At 40.4% G+C, this 17,809-nt stretch overlaps 1 protein-coding gene across 5 annotated transcripts in view, besides 2 other annotated features; it reads right to left on the bottom strand.

Moving 5' to 3' along the window:
• Positions 1-17,809, bottom strand: part of GPC3 (glypican 3) — a 449,850-nt gene that overhangs the window by 232,697 nt on the left and 199,344 nt on the right. The gene's annotated exons all lie outside the window — the stretch shown is intronic.
• Positions 15,031-15,080: an enhancer, noted in NCBI's record as "active region_29973". NCBI's record gives its function as "activates an Ori minimal core promoter by ATAC-STARR-seq in GM12878 lymphoblastoid cells {active_cell/tissue: GM12878}" and the evidence as "EXISTENCE:reporter gene assay evidence [ECO:0000049][PMID:35858748]".
• Positions 15,091-15,150: an enhancer, noted in NCBI's record as "active region_29974". NCBI's record gives its function as "activates an Ori minimal core promoter by ATAC-STARR-seq in GM12878 lymphoblastoid cells {active_cell/tissue: GM12878}" and the evidence as "EXISTENCE:reporter gene assay evidence [ECO:0000049][PMID:35858748]".

A 17,809-nucleotide genomic window follows, 5' to 3' on the forward strand; every position in this document is an offset into this window, starting at 1 on the left:
TGATGACTCTCCTCCTTCATACCCCACTGTACCCCCTTCTCCCCTCCTTAATTTTTGGATAAAGAGCCAGTACTACTGACATCTAAAATGGAGGGAGGCAGTAGAAAAAGAGATACCCACACTCCCATGTTCATTGCAGCATTATTCATAATAGCCAAGACATAGATAACAACCCAAGTGTCCCTTGACAGATGAATGGACAAAGAAAATGTTACAGCTGGGCGCAGTGGCTCACACCTGTAATCCCAACACTTTTGGAGGCCAAGGTGGGTGGATCACCTGAGGTCAGGAGTTCGAGACCAGCCTGACCAACATGGTGAAACCCTGTCTCTACTAAAAATACAAAAAACTAGCCAGGTGTGGTGGCATGCACCTGTAATCCCAGCTACCCAGGAGGTTGAGGCAGGAGAATCACTGGAACCCGGGAGGCAGAGGCTGCAGTGAGCCGAGATTGAGCCACTGCACTCCAGCCTGGGTGACAGAGCAAGACACTGTCTCAAAAAAAAACAAAAGAAAGAAGAAAGAAAGAAAAGAAAATGTTACACGCACATATGCACACACACATGCACATGCACACTCACATGTACACACAATGGAATATTACTCAGCCTTTTAAAAGAAGAACATCCTGCTGATTGCAAAAACATGGATAAACCTGGAGAACATTATGCTAAATGAAATAAGCTAGACACAGAAGGACAAATACTACATGATACTACTTATCTGAAGAATCTTAAATAGTCAAACTCATCAAAGCAGAGAGAGGAATGGTGGTTTTCAGAGCCTGGGTGAGGGCAAAACAGAGAGGTATCATCATTCAATTGGTACAAAGTTTCAGTTACACAAGATGAAGTCCTAGAGATTTACCATACAGAATAGTGTCTATAGTCAACGATACTGTATATATTTAAAATTTCGCCAAGAGCATAGATCTTATGTCAAGTGTTCTTATCACAAAGAAAATAATAAATTAAGAGGATGGGAGGAAACTCTTGGAGAAGATGGATATGTTTATGGCACTGATTATGATGAAGGCTTCAAGGGTATATACTTATCTCCAAATTCATCAAATTGCACACATTAAATATGTACAGCTTTTTGTATGTCAACTACACCTCAATAAACTGGAAAATATACTATAATACCAGTGTGATCTAGAAGGCAGGTCATCTAATCTATGTAGGCCTAAATAAAATATTACTTGGTACCTATTTGCACCAAACCAGCTAAATTCTGAGGCTTAGCTACCACCTTAGTTCTGGTCTACAGCAGTTGTTAGGGACTTCAGCAACTATCTGAAGAGCCTAAAAGCCTAGTGCAAAGTCGAAGAAATGAATTAGAGAAACATCTTTTTTATTCAAAGCTTAACTGGATTTGTTTTTAAAAGGGACATTATATATAAAGGACATACAAATAACAGTTCTGTATACGAAATGCCAGATACCCTGCATGTAAGAGCATACATGCAGGGTGCCTGGCTTAAGAAATCTTTCTGCATAAAGCAGTGACTCAGCCACAAGAGCTGCCTGTATTGTACTATAAAACAATCACAGTTGGGTGCAGTGCCGCAGGCCAGTAATCCCAGCACTTTGGGAGGCCAAGGCAGGAGGATCACTTGAGCCCAGGAGTTTGAGACCAGTCTCTGGACAACATAGTGAGACTCTGTCTCTACAAAACATCAAAAAATTAGCCAGGGTTGGTGGCGCATGCCTGGGGTCCCAGCTACACAGGAGGCTGAGGCAGGGGGACTGCTTGAGCCCAGGAGGTCGAGGCTGCAGTGAGCCATGTTCCCACCATTGCACTCAGCCTAGGTGACAGAGGAAGACCCTGTCAAAAAAAAAAATCGCATGTGAGGTTCATGATTAAGGACCAGATGACCTAATGAAATTGGACCTTCTGAACATTCTTGAACACTTGATTATTTTAACAGAATGTGGAAACCAGTTTAATAAGAAGTTATAAAAATGGAGAGCCAGCAATGAAAGTAATCCTAGAATTAACCTGGAAGAAGAGAGGGTATGGTCAGAAAGACAAGCAACCACTCCCACAAGTATAAATGCTTGATTCAGCTTCTCTATTTTGTGTTGTCCGAGCACCTCTGGCAAGGTTCATATGCAATATTAGAATCTCCTAGAAAGTCCCAAGTTCTGAGCTAGAAACAGAAAGCAAGCCACCCACTGCTACCTCAGTGACTTGCAGGATCAGAGATGGGGCCATTTGTCCATTTGCTACCATTTGTCCCCAAGCTCCTAACAAACTACAGGTCTTTATTTGCACAAGACCAAAACCTATTATTTCAGAACTCTCTTTAGCAAACCTCTGGCAGCCCTTGTCACTACCTCCCAATTGCTATTCCAGATAAAAAGGGAAGAGCAAGCACAGAATCCACCTCGTAGCAGGATTGTTCTTCTATTTTCTTCTAGGAGTTTCACCCTCAATATCTCACAATAAGTTTCTTTCCTCGTAACTCCCCCATCTCTCACCCCCATTTAAATCTGGGAGGGGATGGGGGGAAGGAGTGAATCAGAGGAAGATAACTCCATTCGGACAGATGGACAAGGGACAGTATACACTATGAGGGCTCAATCCATCTGTGGAAAAGGAAATCCAGCTGTTGGCCAGGCCTGCCCCATTTATGTCTGCTCTCGGTACACTGACATTTTCTGTGTTCAAAGGAAACAGCACCTGAATTACTTAAAGGCCCGGGCACTATTTTAAAATAATGCTTGGAGTAATCTGATGTCTAAAGTGGCTTTCTGCCAAAAGGATCTTTTGTCACACTGCTACATTCAAGACCGCTTATTTTAAATGGGCATTTGAAAAATGGTCCATTGCTGTAATTTGGCAATGTGCCTGGAAAAGGCTGAATTTGAGATTGGGCATTTTAAACAAAATCTCTAAAATACAAGTTACAGTCACTTTCCCTAATGAGGTCGTCTGATCCTGTTGCTTAGCGCTTTCCTTAAACATGCCTGAGGGCCCCTCTGTGTGGGCCTGGAGACATCCCCAATTCCAGTGCAAAGGAAGACATGGCACAATTGCACTGTGTCTCCTCAGCTGACCTCACTAGCCTGACCCAAACGCTAAATTCCATCTCATGGGGTCTAGAATAGTGAAGTTGACATCACTGAAAATTCTATTTGTTTAAGGAAAGAAAGATGAGGCCAAACCCCTCAAAATGGTATTGTTTAGGTTTGAAACACACCACAATTAGATGAATTAAAATTCAAGTTTGTCACTTTCCCAAATCTGCATGTGGAAGTCACTACAGTCTATGCCTCTGGCCCGGAATGACCAAAACCAAACTAGAGAAGTAAATTGTTTTCTATTATATTCTCCTTAGGCTATAAATTCTCTGGGCAGAGAGGGAAGAAGGAAATATTAGTGCTGTGTGGTCTTGGCATGCCATCATGTCAATGTGTCATTGGAATACTAATGTAAATGATGTTCAAATCGCCCCTGTAATAGACCCATAATTAGCTTGCTCCATTCCTATGCTGTGTTTAAGCTCTTCAGAATTGCTCAGATCTGAGGTTTTACTATAGAACAAGACACCAGTATTCAGAGACGCTGACAAATTCCAATATCCCTCTTTTCCCTGTGTCCCTTTCCTTCTCCTGTATTTAGTTTTCAGTCTCCTTTCCACATGCCTCTCAAAGAACGCCAGGTAGAAGTCAGTCGATGTAGCCATAAAAAGAAAAAAACTAAACTAAAGAAAAGTTTGCCTGCCATCGCTCAATGCTTGTTAGAGTAAAACTACAATGGTATACAGTACATTTTTTTTTAAGCTAAGGGGTTATATGGGTCAGCTTACACACTGGCTTGCAAATCAGTTTTCTCAAAATGAGTTGGGCCAGACAAGAATGTTAATTTATTTGAGCAGACCTATGTCACTATTGATCATAAACAAAGGTGCTGGTGTGGTGCATCATGCCAGCACACACCAACACGGAGAAAGGTCTGCTCCCGACAAACAACCAGGTGAATACATTCACCATGATAGGTCCCAACCTCCCTGGAATCACGTCTCTTTCATCAGCACATTTGGGTTGATGGTATCGTCATACCCCACCCCCTAAAAATGTTATATGCTCCTTATTCATTAAATTAAAACAAAAGTTTATTTTGTCCTAAGAATGCCATGGCATTACTGGAGACAGTGCTGATATTGACAATCTGGGTTGAGTATCATGGTTAACGTGATGTCAGAAGACCAGTTTTATAATGATGACTAAATAACAGTAACAAGAACAATGATGACAATAGTAACAAGAACTAATATCAGCATAGCACATTCGTTTGGACCAGGCACTATTTCAAGTGCCCCTCACATTTTATTAATTAATTACATTATTATTTAATTATTATGATTATTTCCACTTCATAGGTGAGAAAACTGAGGCTCAGGGAGCAGAAACAACTTCCTCAAAGCCACACAACAAGTAAGTGGTGCAGAGCTGGAATTCAAAATGAGCTCTGAAGCATTCCTCTCTAATGCCTGATATGGGAGACTAGACCTTGTCCTTGGAGAAGGAAAGAGGAAGGCAGTTTCAAGTGGCATATTCACTGTTACTGAAATTTCACATAACAAAAAGGGGGTAGAAAATTTTTATTTTTATTATTATTATTATTTTGAGATGGAGTTTCGCTCTTCTTGCCCAGGCTGGAGTGCAATGGTGCAATCTCGGCTCACTGCAACCTCCACCTCCTGAGTTTGAGATTCTCCTGCCTCAGCCTCCCACTGGGATTACAGGCGCCTGCCACCACGCCCAGCTAATTATTGCATTTTTAGTAGAGATGGGGTTTCACCATGAAAATTTTTATTTTTATTAAAAGAGTGCATGAGTTAGTCATGAAGGCAGAGCCCAGGCGGCCTGCATACCAAATGTGAAGAACAGTACCAATTGACAAAGAAGCACAAAACTAGACAAAGAAAAGGACTCAATAAATAAGTAATTGAACTAACTGAAAATTGAGAGGGAAATGCAAATAAAATGGGAGCACTATGTAGAAGGCAGTCCCCTTTTAAGGAAAAAGAAGAAAGAAAAGCATTTTAGGATGAACAAAATGTCTTGGAAAAGGAGCAGAACCATGTTTTAATTTGACCTAGTTCATGAAGAGTCAGCTCTTGAACACTAGTGACAGTTATTTCTCCAGGAAAAATATCAGAATGAAGGAAAAAGCCAATAAAGTGAACATAAAAGAGCAGAGTGAAGGACTTCAGCCATGGAATATTTTCCATGTGGCAGAATAATAATGAGGTGGACCCTTCATCTTTGGGTTCTGTTTTGGGTTTCTGATACATTCTTTCAGTCCTTTATCTCTGCTTTGATGAGTAATTCAGAAAAATTTTTATGCTTTTATATGAGTATAGTGTTGTCTCAAATAAACCACCTGTCATCCTGGATAGGTCATTTTTCCTCTCTGGCCTTCAGGGAGACAGGACTACCTGAGTGTTAAGTTCCCTTCAAGCATTGTAATTCCATAATTCTGTGCTATTTCTCCATAGTTACTAGTTGGCTGATATTACACATCAACTCCAGTAACAATATAATGTAGTATCTTACTAAGGCACTGTATAAACTCATATAGGACATGTACAAAGCACAGGACTCAAGCAAATGTACACAGAAAATATGAAATGAGTTTCTGGTTTTATCCCGTACAATTTTGTGTAGAAACAGAGGGAGTTAATTGGCGGGAGAATGCTGGCAGACTGGCTGCTAGGAAACCTCATTAGGTCTGGATTCTGGCCCTCAGAGGTGGATTCACTTCAACCAAGCTCACAGAGGGCCATGTTTAAAATTTTAAAATGCCCAGGATTTGGAGGCTCAAAACTCAATTTGATAATGTTCCAGATTGATTGAACCCACACTATCAAACCCTCCAAAGACTGCTAGAATAAAGCTGAACACTAGTGTACCCATTTACAATGACATATATAATATATGTAACCCATTTATAATGATACATATAATTCATGAGGTGACAGATCCTCATATAATCTCCCTACTGATAAATAACATAGGAAGACAAAATATAATCCAAAGCTCGCTTAGTGACCGTGGAAGCAATGTCAACCCAAGGTATAAGCTTTGAATATCTAATTATGGCATCATGTTAAAATATATCTCTATAAATAGGGTATTATAAATAAAATATTATAATAATAGCTAACATTTATTGAGAGATTACTGTGTGTCAGGCACCATACTGAATACATAAATTATCTCCTTTTATTCTCACAATGGCTCTATATGGTAAGTACCATTATTAAAATTCCCATGTTATAGACAGAAACTGAGGCTCAGAAAGGTATAACCACTTGCCCAGGGTCATGAAGCTGGGGAGTGGTGGGCATGAGATATGAACTCTAATCAGTCTGGATCTGGGATCTCACTTATAACCACTTTGCTGTGTTGCCTCTGTGCCTAGCCCAGAGCCCAAGAAGGCAGTTTCTTTCTTGGTAGAAGGGCACTGATCAGTGTTACTATCTTTCTCTGTGACTTTCTCCTTTTCATCTGCTTTCATGACTGACAGCCCATGGCTCCCACTCCCTGATTGACACATTCTTTCTTCTACTGTGTTAACACTGTCAGTCAGGCTACTGTCTGGCCTTTTTTCATAGCAGCCGTTAAGTCTGTCTGTCTCTGTCTCAGTCTTGTTTTTTCTCTTTTTTTTTGAAATTAAAAAAATAAAGTTCAAAGAAGTAAAGTAATAATCACCCATATTCCCACCAACTGTTATCAACATGAGTTAACTTTTGGCAATTTGCTGCCAGCGTGTTTTTTTTTTTTTACTACATTTATACTTCACAAAATTAGACAACAAATATGCGACTCCACTGTTCTTTTGTAATTCAGTCTCTTCAAAGTGAATTTGCATAGTTCTGTTCTCATCCATAGCTTGTTGATTTTCTAGCTTAACTTTTAGGTAGTGATTTCATTTTCCTTATTTTCAGGGTCTTGGGGAGGCCCCTGTAAGTTGCTTCCATGTCTCAGCGATACATTCAAAGATATGTTGAGATTGATATGAACAGACAGGCAGATAGCCTGGCCATCTTACTAACATTAGGGCCCAAGATCATGCACTCTGTCTAGGCTGTCTAACTGCTCTAATTGTCACAAAAATCTATTTCAGTATAAGATTGTAAAAATTGGTATCGTGCCGGGGTCAGTAATTACATGGTCTTTCCCCAACACAGCAAAAGGATGTGTATATTGACAAGGAAATTACAGGATTGGACATAAACAATTCACTACACGAGGGGCTTTGGCAGAATTGAGAGCATCACTTTGAAAAAGAGATACCTTGGGAACAAAAATGTAACCCATGAAGAAGACACCTCTGGCCATCTCTGAGAATCATAAGCATAATTCATGATATCTAATAATTACAACATTAAGTCTATATTTATTTCAAAATAAAAAATTAAAAGGGGCATGGGTTTAAAGAAAGGTGCATACCCAAAACTATTTTAAAAAGTTATCAGTGGAAAAGGTAAGACTGCAAAGTTAATGGAAAATAAAAAGCCTCCCAGAAAGGAAAAACTGTGGTGTGCATAGCAAATATCAACACGTGAGCACAGTGAACAATGGTCAAACACACCCTTTCTATCAAATCAAAGAAGCCTTTTCCAGTCTGTGACATATTAAACTTCTAGGGTTGTAATTATGGAGTTATTTTTATAGTTTATCTATTCTAAATATATCTTTCTAATAATATATATAGCAGAAAACTGAGGAGATATTGTTAACCAAATTCATTGCTATTTCTGATCAAAACACATTCTCAAAGAATCTCGTTACACAGATTATAGGGTATCAATCAAATGACTGGCGCCCCCTCCTGGCCTTCCCAAGAATGACAAAACAATCCCCATGTCTCAGCCCTTCGCAGACCCCTTTTCCAGCACTACTTGGTCTGTCTCGTCTACGCATAGATCCACAGTGAGGCCTGCTGCTAGTATTCGAGATCGCTAAACTGTGATGCCCATATTTTTACTCACTTTCAACTGGAGTGGCAAAATGTACCTACCTATACAGGTCATGACTGTATGTGGAAAATCAAGTGAAGAGCCTCTCCATTAAATGCAGCCACTGATGCCAAGATCCTTCACTATTGTTTATTATTCATTGTTATCAATTTTCTGAGTCATTTGAGCTGGACATCTCAGGCTCCTTGAGATCCACCTCCATCTTCCTGTCTTTGTTCACACTGGCTATTATTCCTTTCCAGTCACAGCCATTTCCCATAGCCCTGACAGTGATAATCCAGAGGTCAGAAGAATACTAGGTCAGGTGCATCCCCAATACCTTATGACCTAAGAGACACTTCTGTTCCAATCACAGTCCACGAACTTTGCTCTCATTCTCTTACAGCAATGAGTATACTCAAAAATTAGTACAGCAAGGAAGTAGTCACGTCCTTTCTTTTCTTTTTTTTTTTTTTTTTTTGAGATGGAGTCTTACACTGTCGCCCGCGCTGGAGTGCAGTGGCGCGATCTCAGCTCACTGCAACCTCCACCTCCCAGGTTCAAGTGATTCTCCTGCCTCAGCCTCCCAAGTAGCTGGGATTACAGGTGCCCACCACCACGCCCAGCTAATTTTTTGTATTTTTAGTAGAGATGGGGTTTCACTATGTTGGCCAGGCTGGTCTCAAAATCCTGACCTCATGATCTGTCCGCTTCGACCTCCCAAAGACGTCGTTTCTTTCTTAATGCATGGACCACAGGTATTCCAAGAACAGAGATCTTATTCTTATTCTCCTGGTTTCAACCCCTCTTTCTCCACTCCTCTCTTGGTCTCCACCCTCTCTTTATTCTCTTTTTACTTTAATTCTAAGTCTCAAGCAATTCCTGTATGGTAGGCTTCTGTTCCTATTTATGCCTGCTTATCTTCCCTGGACCTCTGGAGCCCAAATTCTTGATGTGAAATTATGACTTCATGGTGCCCACCTCCTTTTCTCAAGTTAGAAGTCTGACCTCTGACTCCAGCACACTTGCTGGACCCACAACCTTGCCAACATCTTCTAGTAGTGCCTGATACCCCAAATTCTGGTTTCAGAATACAAAAGCCCATCATGAAACTATTAATATACATTTCCTCTTATCTCAGTTCTGTTTATTTTCATCTATTGTTTAGATTAGGAATCTTTGATACTAGAATTACATATGTTGAAATCTGAAAGGCCTTAGAAGTAATCTAAGTCAATGACTTCTAACTATTGTTGGTCTGCAAACCTGTTATGTCAGAATCTCCTGGGGTGCTTGTTAAATATACAGATTCTTAGGCCCTACCATAGAACTGTCAATTCAGAGTTTCTAGGCATTGGTCACAAGAATCTTTATTTTAACAAGCTCCCCAGGCAAATCTGATGCAGAGCCAAGTCTGGGCACTCTGATGATCAAAGCTCGTCAATTCACAGATGAGGAAACTGACGAGGCAGGAACTAAAACCCAAGCCTCATGAGCCCCGGTCTTTTGTTCTTTCCATCATCCAACTTTCTCTCCTCCTGGAAGAAATATGTTAGAACTGCCTTGAATAAGAACAAGTTATAAAGTCAATTAGCAATAAAACCTTGTTTTGTAAAGAACACAATGACCTATCTGTTGAACTTGCTCAAACCCCTGCTTTAAAAAGGGTTGCACACTACTAAAGACAGTCATCTTGTGGTGACACACATTAGCTACTGAAGATTTATTATTTCCCCCCCAAAAATTACATGGGTCAAAAGCAGGAGAGACTTGAACATTTCAGCAATGCATTGGAGCTTGAGAGAATTATATTGGGATGGTTACTCGAGCTATCTGAACTGCTTGTTACCCTTTCTTTATGAAGACTGTAGAAGGCAAACCAAAAACTCAAAAGCAGAATGGAAAAGAAGCAATAAAAGAGAAAGAACCTGGCCCCTCAGACAGCCCCCTTCTTTGGTTGTTTATAGTTGAGTTGTTACTTACATGTAACCATCAGAATAGATTCTTACAAAGAATTTTTTCCATTATAGATAAATATTTTGGAAACAAAATTAGTAATGGACCCACTGAGCAACTGATACGAATTGAAACAGCAATGTGATTATTAGACATTATAAACAACTGAGAATTTGAGATAGTTTTCAAGTACTGTTATGTCTGGCCAAGATGAACATAAAGTCTATTATAGCATTATCATGATCTCCCTCTTGGCAAAAATGTAAAAGGTCACTTCAGATTTAGTTAAACATGATAGCCAAAGACATGCAAGAGACACTCAACTGGGAATATCAGGTTGTCTTCTTGACCTGGGACTGCCTGGATGACTCTGAGAGCTTGGTTTGAATATAATAACAGTACAGGGCCCGTGGCTGATTCTTCCCTTCAAATACCAAGACATTTGGGGTTATGTTGCTACCCCAACCAGAGTTGAAGGACATGAAACACTTTAGATTATCGCACAACACTTGAAAAATTTACATATTTTCTGCCTTTAGTGTTTTTTTACCCTCTAAAAATATGGTCTGCAATTTTGAGAAAGTATTATCAAAGGAAATCACAAGGACTTTATTAACATCATCTCATTAATCTTCAAAAGGTAGCTGTAAAGCAATAGAAAATTTTACTGATGAGGAAACAATTACTAAGGAGGCTAAGTGACTTGCTTGAAGTTATTAAGTTAATTCCTGGCTCAGTTAACATTTGACACCATTGACACTTTCCTTCCTAAATTGCTTTCCCTTGACCCCCATGACGCTAAACTATTCTCACTCTTTTCCTCTTCTTATGAATTTAAGCTTCTTTACAGAAGAATGAATCTAACATTAAATCCAATCATTTGCATCACTGCAAATTGTCTTTAACAAGGTATTTATATGTGGGTAGCTATGCTTATGTACTTTTTATGTTCTTTTTCCTGTACAGAGACAGTTATAATACAGTAGTTAAGAACATGAACTCTGGAACCAGAACACAACCTTTCCAATCCTGGTTCCTCCACATGCTAGTTGTGTGACCTTGGGCCAGTCACTTAACCTTCCTGTACTTTGGGTTCTCTACCTGTAAAATCGGGATAATAATTGTACCTGCCCTAAGAGGGCTGTTGTCAGGGTTACATGATAAAATATATACAAAATGATTAGAACACTGTCTGGCATATAATAAGCTCATTCAGTGTTCATTGTTATTAATAGCATTATTTCATACCCACATTTTCATGTAGCTATGAGATGTTCATTCCATTGTGTTAATATATAACACCTTGCTTAGCCAATTTTATCTTGCATGGGTTTAGATGATTCATAGGAGTTTGGAAAATCACTGAAATTAAAAAAAAAACAGAAGGTGGGTCATATCCATCATTTTTGTTATTTAAAGTTTTTCTCCCCTCTCCTACCACATCCTGGTCCTGACTATCCCCACCCCCAAGCCATTGCTACAATCCTTGCCCAGGCACTCACCACCTCATAATTTTTTTAAATGGGGCCCAAATAGGAGCATGGTGAACTAATAAAGTCCCCACCAAGGTGGAGTAATGTGGCGTTAGATCACAAAACACCTAGAAGTATCTTGCACATGGCACCTTTCTATAAATGCCATATGGATGGATGAAATGAAATGGTTATGGGGTCCATATGGAAGCAGAGGCTGAAAGTAGGCTGGGGCGAGGCTGGGAAATGACCTAGACGCCATGCTAGGAGGTTTAGGTTTGATCTTGTAAGCTATGAAGAGTCACAAAATTTTTTTGTTCTTATAAACGTGGGATTAGAGAGAAAGCTATTTGGAAGCTAGAAAAAATGGTTATAGCTTCCTAATCATTCAATATTACAGCTCGTTTCTCTTTAATCTTAAGGAATATTTTTAAGTTATATTAAATTTTGAAATTTTCCCTGCCAAAACTATTTCAGAGTATCCCTTTTCTTCCTTGTGCCTCTCACAAACAGGCTTCTTTAAAGGTATAATATTTTCTTTTATACTTTGTTTTAATAACAGATTTTAGTTTTCTAGAGGGCCTAGCCATTCCTCATTTTAAATGTTTTCCTGTCTTATAACATTTAAAAGAAACGATTTGTGTCCCAGATTACCCTGACTCGAAGGTAATGACTGGTGGCCTGGGAAGCCTGGACCTGAGCTAATTGTGAGTTCCAGCTGGTCAGTTTCATGATAATTACCCAGCTCTGAAAGTAATTCATGGGAACATATAATTACCTATCAACCTGCTTTCACAGAGCCGGACCTGCAGTCTCAGTGACAGCCACCCTTCAGAAATGTGGTGCCTAGCTTAGGAATGAAGCAGGCTCTATTGCTAGTAGTGTAAAAGGAGATCAATGGGCAACATCACCTCCTCCATCAAACCCTGTACAGTCTGCTTGGGATGCTGTTATCCCAAAGGGAAAGAGAACGATGATCTTGAGTGCCTCAATAAAAACTTGCAAATAGGAGGCGCCAAAGGATTTCTGTTTAGTATCATTATAGTCTAGTCAGAGTGAATAGCAACTCATCAGAGACCTTTCTCCATGATGGCTTATTCCAAATATTTACTTTATTTTTCTCATATCCCAAGCCCTGTGGAACTGCACTGCTTTCACTAACTTATTGAAAATTATTTCAGAAATGATGTTCTCAGTATGTAGGATATTGTATTTCCTCCCCCATTACACCCTTGCATCTTGTTTCTTTTTAATTCTGTATTTCTTTCATTATTTTTCTCTCTGAATCGATCCTCTGTATCTACAAAGGTAGCTCTATATTTTCTTTCCCAACTGCCTCACTGATGAAGAGTTCTCTGGCAACACAGGCTAGAAGGAAATCTCAGTCTCATTTCCTTCACTTCAAAAGTAAATCCACTTGTCTGCCTCATCCACAAAAATGTAATGGGAGTGTTTTTCTGCCACATTAGTCAATGCTGAGGCAGGAAGAGTGAGAGACCAGGCCATATGGTGACTGTCACAGCTGGCAGGCTACACAGCCAGGATAACAGAGGCTAGAGCTGAGCCAGGTGTCGGGGCTCAAAATGCAGCAACTGGGGACTCTATGGAATGACTTTAAGGCCAGTCTGTCAGGAGACCAATAAAGCACTTTTTCTACAAACTGAGAAAACAACTTGCAACACTATCTTCATGGATTGACTTCCCTTTGCAAAGGTGAACTCCAGATAGTTTGGCAGAAGGGGTACATTAGAGCAGACTTCTTTTTCTGAAAGCCTTGAACAAGGCTGATGAAGCAGAAACTAGGTGTAAGCATGCCTAGTGGGAAGGTGGGGAAGAGGCAAATTGGAAGTCAGGGAACTGCACAAAGCCTGCAGTTGCAATGGCCAAAGCTACCCTTTAGTCTCCACTCCTACCCTTCCTTGTTTAGCCTCAACTCCTGTGTTCAGTGAGTGCCCGCTCTGTGCCAGACATGGTACTAAGGGTGCCAGGAACCTGAAAGAGAATTGGGCATGATTCCTTTCCTGAAGAAATTTACTGTCTGGTGTGAAATCCAATCTCTCTTATGCCCTCAACAGCTTATTTTGGGTTCCTGGGGCTTTAATCTTCCCAGCACTTCTGAGGACAGAAATTCATAACTTCTTTTGGATTGGAAGCACTGCCATTTGCAAAGACCTCTACAAATCATGCAGACCACAGTGACTCATCAGAGAGCCCATTCCCAAACTAGCAATTGCTCTGAGAAGTAACAGCTCTGAATGCTACCAGAGGGAATCTACTTATTGAAGATCCCAGGCATTCCCTTCCATCTCCTCTGTGGGAGACAGAGTGCTAACCCTAAACCCCTGGCCCAGCACCAAAGCAACATCATTTGTGACTACCCTGCAAACTCACATTCTCTGCTGAGGACTGAGACCTTCACCGTAATTATTACCAGTTGCTAAATTTCATCTCTACAGAAAGCGTAATAGAAAGGTGACTATCTGAGAAGCACTTCTTAGAGTAATCAAGCCTGAAACTCTGTGATAGAAATGTAAATCTGAGGTTAGCATTTACGGAACACAAGGAAAAGACAAGGCCAACAGAGCAAGTCAGTTACCTCTGGAAGCACTCAGCACTCCACCTGTTTTAACTCAAAGAAGCACTCACCTCTCAGTGTGTCTCTTCACATTTCCTATTCTATATTTCCATCCCCTTTCTGTCCTTTTTCCCTTCCTCTTGTTCTTTTCATTTTTCCCATGTCCCTTTCCTTCTCTGTTCCTAGCACCTTACTATAAAACAGAAGTCAGAACCAGACTCAGAGCAGTCTCTTTATATATGGCTGCCTGATGAAGTGTGTATGTCCATTTCAACTTCAAATACAAATGAATTTTGGATCACCCATTCTATCAGATTACCTATGTCTCTACTCCTCTCCACTAGCATTGACAAACAAGAGATGACCATAGAGAGACTGGATGCTTATCATATAAATGTCTGTGCCTAGTTCCCATGGTTACAGATAGAGATCTGCCACAAGAATAGGTATTACATCTATGCAAACAGACTGCCAAAGCTTTTGACTCAGGCAGCAAGAAGACAGGTTAGCAGGGGCCAATTCTGAGAGCTCATTAGGCCAGCAGAGTTGGGTAGATGTCAAGGGGTCAGTAGGCAGGGGGTGGACAGAGAGGGATGTGTGATCACAACAGATATCAGGCCAAAAAAGATGTCCAAGGTTCAGGTGTCCTAGGACTCAGCTTGGTCAGGAGAGCCCAAGCAGATCAGGCCAAACAGAGAGCTAGGGATCCAAGGTCTGGAGGTGCTGGAACCACAGCAACCCAAAGTACTACCTCCCCATCCCTGATCTGAACTTCCGGGCAGAATTTCTAGGAGTTATTTAACAGCCGCTACCAGTCACAACATAGGTTGCATTTCAGGAGGTGTCAAGCAATTCTAGACCACTGTGTAGTTTGCAAAGCTTTTTGAGGTTCTTTAAGATGAGATGGAAAGTGTGTTTTACAGGGCCTAGAAAGATGGGCCTGTATATCTCAGGTATCCTCGGGCAAATGACCTTGCTTTCATGTTCCTATTAGCCAAGTTAAACAAAGTAGGTGACAGGACACTTGATGTTGACGCACATGATTGCCTTGCTTCTCCTTTCACTTCTCCATGTTGGCCTGCAGCTGAGCAAGAAGGCTTTTGAACAGGAAGACACTTTTTGCTTTCCCCCTAGCTAGCAAAAGCCCCTTTGGGCTGAGAGGTGATGTTATCATTCTCCAGCATGCCCTAGAGTGGGACAAATGTCTGAAGAGGGCTTCCAGGAGGAGGTGCTGACCAGTGGGACTTCTTTATTTTCCTTTCTTTCATTCTGACACATTCTTCAGAGTCAAATGCAAAGAGATACTATTTTCAGAGGAGCCATACCATTGCTCTCCCTCATTACCATGAAAAAATCAAGAGCTGAATGCAAGCTATTGCATTTGAATCCTTGGAAAACAAAACTAAGTTTTATAAATACCTTCTGGCCATTGTTTTAAAAGGAGAAAACCTGATGTTGATTTGTATGACACTTATCCATATTCGAGTTTTGGGGACACATTAAGCAGTATCTCAAGTCAGACCAGATTGGATTCATTAATGAAACTGGACCGCCTCTCTAAACATCAGAGCAACTCTTTAGTAACGAGAAACCTTACTTCCTCCACTTAGTTGAGCTGGAAAATTAATGTAGTGTGCTTCTAAAGAAACACATAATGAACATGATGAATTTTCATCATCTTGCTGGAAAGTGATTCTTTATGTTCTTATTCCAAATTTACAGCAAGTAAATTTAACGTTCCAAAGCTGCTGCGCCTTTTTAAGACCTCACTATCAATTTGTGGGGCGCTTTAAATGATTCTGACCTGGAATTTATTAGTGCTTTCTGAAAAACGCACGTGTAGCAAATTGCTGCACTTCAAGATAAATCAAGTTATTTGCAGAAGTTACACTTTAACTATTCACATTTCTCCTAAAGGGGAAAAACCCCAGCCTTTACCTGAGTATCATGCAGAGAGGCAGAAACCCAAACTGGGTCTCCTACTTTCCTAGGAAATTTGTAATCAGGGAATTGAAAATCCCCTCTGGAATCTAGGAGCCCATACTGACCAGCTCCTCGGCAGAGCTGATTTCAAAGTTACCACTGTTCTTAAGTCAAAGGTCACAGGCCACTAATGGCATCCCCCTAAATGGCACTGTGAACCCCCAAGGACATGGACGCTTTAAACAGACATTCCATTTCTAGGACCGCTCCCCTTTAACAGCAGACTGTTTGTAACACAGAGAATGTAAGGAAATTGTTATTGTTAGAAAAGAAGAGGGGCATGATCCCTCATTTCTTTAAAAACTGACATATAATTGGCATATCATAAAATTCACTCCTTCAAAGTGTACAATTCATTGGTTTTGACATATTCACAAAGATGTGCAACCATCACCACCATCTGATTCCAGAACATTTTCATCACTTCCAAAAGAAGGCCTGTGTACAGTAACAGTCACTCTCCATTTCCTCTCTTTCCTCCCCGCCGGCCCTAGGCAACCACTACTCTACTTTCTTTCTCTATGGATTTGCCTATTCTGGACAGTCACTTCTTTTTGCATAGGGTTTTGTTTTTTATTTATTTGTGTGTGTGTTTTTTACCCCCTGCAGGAAACAGATCAGTGGAAATGCTGAGGTGGTCCCACTTAAAATTCAGGTCTTTGAATAAACCAGGATGGGAACTTTCTTGGAAGAAACTTCCTTAGGGGGCTTTACTTGTGGATGTATATAGCTGCTGACAGATAGCACTGCTTGAGCACAGACTTTTACCCCAGGTCTGATTCTCTCTTTCTCTTTTGGTTGGGGAAGTGGGGGGTCTTCTTTGCTGTTTGTCAGAAGCAGGGCAGATCTGAGTATCTCAAAGCCAGTTCCAGCCTGTTTGTGAAAAGCAGTATACCTGAGTAGACTAGAGTGTCAGGTAAACTAGGTTCCAAGCCATAGCTCTACTACTTTTTGCAGGTTATGGTGTGTGTGACTATGGGGAAGTTATATGACCTCTCAGCCTCAGTTTCTCGCCTGTAAAAGGGAAATGATAGTACCTATCTCACAGGATTTATTTTGAGGACTAAATGAGAGATCGATAAGTAGGTAGATAGCTAGACAGACAGGTACCAATATAAATATAGATACAGATAAATAGCTTCGTACTATGCCAGGCATTAGTAAGATCTCAACAAATTATATCTAAACTTAAATGCCTATTGTGTGCCAGGTACTGGTTTTTGCACTTACTCATTGTTTACTTATTGGAGCTAAGTGTACCTCATCAAAAGGAAAGATGGGATTCTGAATACAAGTATTGGCAATGCCTCTGAAAGATATCGATGTAATAAAATGACATGATGTCTAATCAAGTAGGTGAGACTGCTATATCAGTAAGCTCTAGCCACAGATTAATTTCTTGACGGGCAAGGCAAGTTGACATTCTCAGGAAATTAAAGTTCAACGTATTGTTTCTGCAAAGAATACTATAGTCCGTGAAAATCAATGTTTTACCCTGACTATATGGCAGTCTCTTCAGTAATATAGCAATAGCTATTCATGCACAGTATAATATAAAACCTATAGATCAATAAGACCTTTCTTTGATTTATAAAAATTTACAACTAATCACCGGGGACAAAAGATCTAGAAAAGATAAACGTCTCTCATCAAAAGCTACCTTAAACATAATCCTGTCAAAATAAAGAATATATATTTTATAAAGTGAGGCTGGGTGCAGTGGCTCACGCCTGTAATCCCAACACTTTGGGAGGCCGAGGTGGGTGGATCACCTGAGGTCAGGAGTTCGAGACCAGCCTGGCCAACATGGCGAAACCTATCTCTACTAAAAATACGAAAAAAATTAGC

This window comes from Homo sapiens, chromosome X, assembly GCF_000001405.40.
Source record: "Homo sapiens chromosome X, GRCh38.p14 Primary Assembly".
NCBI lineage: Eukaryota > Metazoa > Chordata > Mammalia > Primates > Hominidae > Homo > Homo sapiens.